Source organism: Homo sapiens, chromosome 9 (genome assembly GCF_000001405.40).
Source record: "Homo sapiens chromosome 9, GRCh38.p14 Primary Assembly".
In the NCBI taxonomy this organism is placed as follows: Eukaryota; Metazoa; Chordata; class Mammalia; order Primates; family Hominidae; genus Homo; species Homo sapiens.
Genome location: NC_000009.12, coordinates 20,311,484 through 20,317,483, shown reverse-complemented (window position 1 = coordinate 20,317,483; position 6,000 = coordinate 20,311,484).

Sequence of the window (6,000 nt, the reverse complement as noted above, 5' to 3'; positions counted from 1 at the left end):
GCTTTCTGCTCTTGCTAATCTCTGGGTTGTATGCTGCCTCCTCTTTGGCTTCTCAGCCTCCCTATCACCTGTTACCTCTTCTCTGCACCAAATCCCCTCTGCTTTAAACTCTCAGCATGATTTCTGTTTTCCTGGATGAATGATAAGCGTCACAGTGAGTAGCAGTAGTTCCTCTTCCCTGTGACCACTGCTGTGAGTTGAGTTGTGTCCTCCAAAAAATACTGAAGTCCTAACACCTGGTGCCTGTGAGTGTGACCTTTTTGGGAGTTAGATCTTTGCAGATGTAATCAAGTTAAGATAAGGTCATTAAGGTGGGCCCTAATCCAATGACGGAATCCTTAGAAGAAAAGGGAAATTTAGACACAGGAGAGCACCCATGGGAAGACAGAGACACACAGGGAGATCCCCATTTGATGACACAGACAAAAGTTGTCACAATGCAGCTGCAAGCCAAGGAATGCCAAGAATTGATGGCCACCACCAGGAGCCAGGTAGAGGCAAGGAAGGATCCTCCCCTTTGGGTTTCAGAGAGCATGTCCCGTGTGGCACTGATTTCAGACTTCTTGCCTCTAAAACTGTGAGACAATACATTTCTATTATTAATATTTTAAGCCATCTACCTTGTGGCATTTTGTTATGTCAGTCCGAGAAAACTGCCATGGTTTCGACGTGGGTTGCCCCCACCAAAATTCATGTTGACATTTGATTCCCCTGATGGCAGCGTTGGGAGGAGAGGCCTAGAGGGAGGCGTTTGGGTCCTGGAGTAACGCTGCTATCACCTCTCTCACTATGCAGGGAATAGTTCCAGAGAGAGCGATTGTTATAGGTGAGCCCAGCCCCTCTTGCCTGCCTCTTTGTGTGTGACCACTGGCCTTTCTGCTTTTCCACTGAAAGTGAAGCAGCCCATGGCCCTCGCCAGAGCTCAGCAGATGTCAGTGCCATGCTGTCGGACTTTCCCGCTAACAGAACTGTGAACTAAATAAACCTCTTTCTTGTATAAATTACCCAGTCTCAGGAATTCTGTTATGGCAACACCGAATGGATGAAGGCAGAAACGAATGCAACAGCCATGGCAGATTATCTGGGGGAGCCTCTTACATCCAGCTCTCCCTCCCCTCCTCTCCACTACCACTTTGTGCTGCCCTAAGTACTCTGGTCACCCACATGTAATAGACATCCTCTCCCCTGCACATGGCTTTGCTTTGGGGAGAGGTATGGAAGCTGATCTCAAGCTTGATAGCGGTTGCTTTGGCCTCACCTTTATTCTTCTGTTACAATCAATAGGAGGTTGAGATTTACCATGTTTTCAGTGTCTGTATAGGTTTTGATGTTTTAATTGCAAAACAAAACAAAACAAAAAACTGACAACCTAGAAACCAGTCAACTTGGCTTAAAGAAACGAAAAAAAAAAAAAAAGAAAAAGGGCATAAATTCTAAGAACCCAGAAACATCTTACAAAATATAAAGGCACTAATGTAACTGTGCCTGTGGAGGGGATTAGAGCCAGAAACTGGAAGCCTTCTGTGACTCATTCTTCTCTTTTTTCTTTTAGAGGACTGGAGTTTTCTGCTGCTGCTCTGATTCACATCTCCCATATTTATGTCTCATATTTCCAGCCGCATAGAGGCTGACTTGGTTCAAGTTCAAGTTCCAAATTGCCCAAAGAAGAAAATCTGATTGGATCAGCTTGAGTCAGGTGTCCGCACCTAATCCAATCAATTGTGTTTATGGTGGTGGAGGGAGCACACAGGACCAGGATGGTTGCTGGGAGCCCACCCCTATGGAAAGGGAGATTTTAAAATATGAAGGGCAGAGGTTATTGTAGGGTTCATTCCCCAAGAAAAAAGGTGTGTTCTGGGTTGGATGCCTTCTGGGCTGAGGCTGGGGTAGGAATTGTGGCTCTAGGCCAGCCCCTGGCTCTCACCTCACAGTCAGGGCCTGCAGGGACTCACAGGTGGCCTTCACCAGAACTTACCATCTGGGTGTGCAACAGAAAGAGTAATGGGAGAATTCACTCTACCCTAGTTAAACCTGCAAATCAAACCTCCCACTTCACTAAATGATGTGTGTTCGTGTTATGTAATCTGTGGGTAATAATAGCTAACATTTACTGGACACCTACAACAGGCCAGTTGCTAAGTGTTCAGAACATTTTTCTAATGCTCATAATTCCACAAGATTGATTTTGTTATTCACTGTCATCTCTGCCCCCGCATCTTCCCCATTAACACACGTCCTAATCTCAAGCCACAATGTAAAATGACTATGATCTTCAACTTTCTGCTACGTAGTTGGTTTTTAACAGGTGATGCAGGAACATGGTTCAGGTATATGTAAGTCTCCTTCCCATCTCTGTGTTTCAACCACATCCTTCCTCCCCTAAAGGCAACCACTGTTGCTGGTTTCTTACATATACAAGCATAAATGTGTGTATCCTTTTGTTTTTCTGGAAGTGATAGATGACTTTTCACATTATTATAAAAATTGTAACACTGTGTCTTGGTGGTGGTTAGCACAGAGAGCAAATCTTTGAATGGCTTCTGCTGAAATATTGTAAGGAAATGTCATTATCTGTGAAACTACCACCTTATTGATGATAACTGAGGTTACTTCCACTCTTTTGCTAATATAAGCAAAGCTGCAGGAATATCTCTGTGGCTACAACTTTATGCACATGTGCCAACATATCTATAGAATAAATTCTCCAAAGTAGAATATCAGGGTAAAAGAGTGCATGTGCTAGGGCTGGGCGCGGTGGCTCACACCTGTGATCCCAGCACTTTGGAAGGCCCAGGCGGGTGGATCACGAGGTCGGGAGATTGAGATCATCCTGGTTAACACGGTGAAACCCCGTCTCTACTAAAAATATAAAAAATTAGCTGGGAATGGGTGGCAGGCGCCTGTAGTCCCAGCTACTCCAGAGGCTGAAGCAGGAGAATGGCGTGAACCCGGGAGGCGGAGCTTGCAGTGAGCCGAGATCGCTTCACTGTACTCCAGCTTGGTGAACAGAGAAAGACTCCATCTCAAAAAAAAAAAAAAAAAAAAAAAAATACATGTGCTATACATTTTTATATGAGTATTCAGTTGCTCTGCACTGAATCAATTTATAAGCCTAGCAACAATTCAAGTGAATAGCTGTTTCTACTCTCCCAATAGTGCTCCATTCAAGGATTTGATATTTGATAATTTGCAATATAAGAAATGTAGTTTATTTGCTTTCTTTTAAATGTCATTTTAAGTGTTTTAAATCCTTTTGGATTGTGTATGTGTCGGGGGAGTGTGTGCCACAGAGAAAGACATGTCCATCCAGGTCCTTTGCCCATTTTCCTGTTGTGTTTTTGGCCTTTTTCTAATTGATTTTTGGTGACTGTATATATTTAGAGAATGAGTCCTTTCTTACATGTATTACAAATGGTATCCCAGGTGTGTTGTCATTGTCTGTCTTAATTTTGTGTGTTTCTTGAAGGCAATTTTTAATTTTTGTAGAGTTGTATACATTTTATTCTTTATGGTTCCTGGGATTTTTTTTTTTCTCATACTTAGGTCTTTCCATTTCTAAGATTATAAAATATTTTTCCGTGTTTTTCTAGTGACTTACACCCATCAGGAATTTACTTTGGTCTGATGGATAAATTTAGTAATCCTGCTTTATTTTTTTCCTAAATGGCTACCTAGTTGTCTCAACACCATTTGCTTAACTATGTGTTTTTCACCACTGATACAAAATGCCACCTCTGTCATATTTTACATTCTCATATGTTTTGGAGTCTGCTTCTGGATTTTATTTTTTAAATCAGGCCCATGATGTTTTAATTACTCTAGCTTTATGTTATACCAGCTGGTACATCCAGTCTGTCTTTCTTACTTTTCTTTTTCAGAATTTTTCTAAATATTCTCATTGCTATATATTTACCATATACGATTTAAAATCTGTTTAGTGAAAAAAGTTCTGTCAGTGTTTTCATTGAAATCACATTTCTTAGATTTCTAGTTATTTTATCCTTTAGGTTGCTGTTGGAAATGGGAACTGCTCTACTTTCCAAATGATTGTTGTTTTTATATTTGAGGCTGTTGATTTCTTTTTGGCACTAATTTTGTATATAGCTGACTTTTTAAGTTTTCTTACTTATTTTAATATTTTTTCCTACTTTTTTATTATTCCCCATAAATATGTGATCATATGGTCTGCAAATACTGATAACTAGACCTCCTGGCAAGTTCTGAATTGGTGAATTCCTTGTCTTTCCTAATTGTGTTGGCATGTATCACTAGACTAGTGTTAAAAGGTAGTAGTGAATATGGAAGTCCTTTGTTTTGTTGCTGACTTTAATGAGAATGTTTATTATGTCTTCCCATTAAGCATGGCCCTAGTTTTTGGGATATGATATATATATATTTTGTTTCACAGAACCTCACCAATATGGCCTGCTTCCATGCCTTTGCACATGTTAATTCCTTTCTGCTATGTGGGAAAACTGTCCTTATCCTTCATGACCCTTTCTAATGCCATTTTCTGTATGCTGTCTTCCTCATGACTCAAGGTATTAGTCATCCTCTCCTCTGTTTTCCCACAATGCCCAGCCCATACCTTCATTATATATAATACACAATACACTGTTTTCTAGCCATCTGCCTGTCTTTTCTTAGGTTGTGAGCTCCTTTAAAGCAGGCACTGTGTTCAGAGCTTGATAAGAAGTGGACCAGTCAAGCAGCTTCCAGAAGCATTGATCTAAAAAGGGATACTAATATATCAGTGAACTTAATCTCTGTCTACACTCTCTTGGCCCATGGCTTTTAAATACTGTCTACAAGAAAGTGATCCGAATTTATATCTCTTGCTTTGACCTGTCCACTAAGCAAGTACATCTAGCCGCCAACTTGATATATACAGATTCAGACCACACCATCTCATGGATCATGTCTAAAACAGAACTCTTGATTTCCTGTGCTTCCAAATCTGTTGCTGCCTTCCCACCCCCCATTTTCCTCATCTTGGCTAATGGACCTGGGGTTCTTCTCGACTCCACTCTTTCCCACACCTTACACCACACCACAGCAAGTCCTGTAGCCTCCACCTCCAAAACATATCTGGATTCCAACTGTTTCTCACCACCTCCACTGCACAATTGTAATCATCATGTAAGCCACCCTCATTTTTTGCTTAGATTCCTGTGATATGTTTCAAGTAGTCGTCCAATTCCCATTCTTTTTCTCATAATAATCTATTCTCTACATACTAACTGGCAGAATCTCTTAAAAGGGCAAATAAGATCATGTCACTCATTTTATTAAACCTTTTAATGGTTTTCCATTACATTTAGAAGAAAATGTAATCTTCTTATCATAGCCTGTAAAATCTGCCTCTCTTCTCTGCCCTTTCATTCCCTTATGATTTACCTGGGTGCTCCACTGCAGCCCTGCCAGCCTTCTGTCTGTTCCTCGATGCCACAAACTTATGTGGGCCTTTCCATTTGCTGTTGCCTTTGCCTGGGCTACTTTTCCCCCCAAGTCTTTGCCTGGGCCATTCTTTCTCAACAATCAGATCTCAGCTCAATTACAAATAAAAATCTAAATCAGCTCCCCTTCCCATGGTCAGAAAATGGCATATGTCTTGAGCTCTTGAATACCCAGCGTTCTTATTCTTTATCACATCTTCCTATTTGATTTCCTCCTTAGAACCTATCATTATCTAAAATTAATCCATAGATTTGTTTAGTTGTTTATTATTTTTCCCCACACTCCATTAAAATGTAAACTTTACATAAACAGGCACATTATGTAGTTTGTTCTTTGAAATAGGCTCAGTAGTTGGAACAGTCCTGGTACATAGTGGGCACATAATAAATATTTGTTGAATAAATGAAATAATATGTATGTAATAATGTATATGTACCAATGAACTCATTTACATGATATTATCCCTTACATGAAGGGCAAAGCAGGAAGGAGTTTTTCTTTTGCTGTAGTTGATAGCACCCTGGAATGAAAAGCACCTCTTTC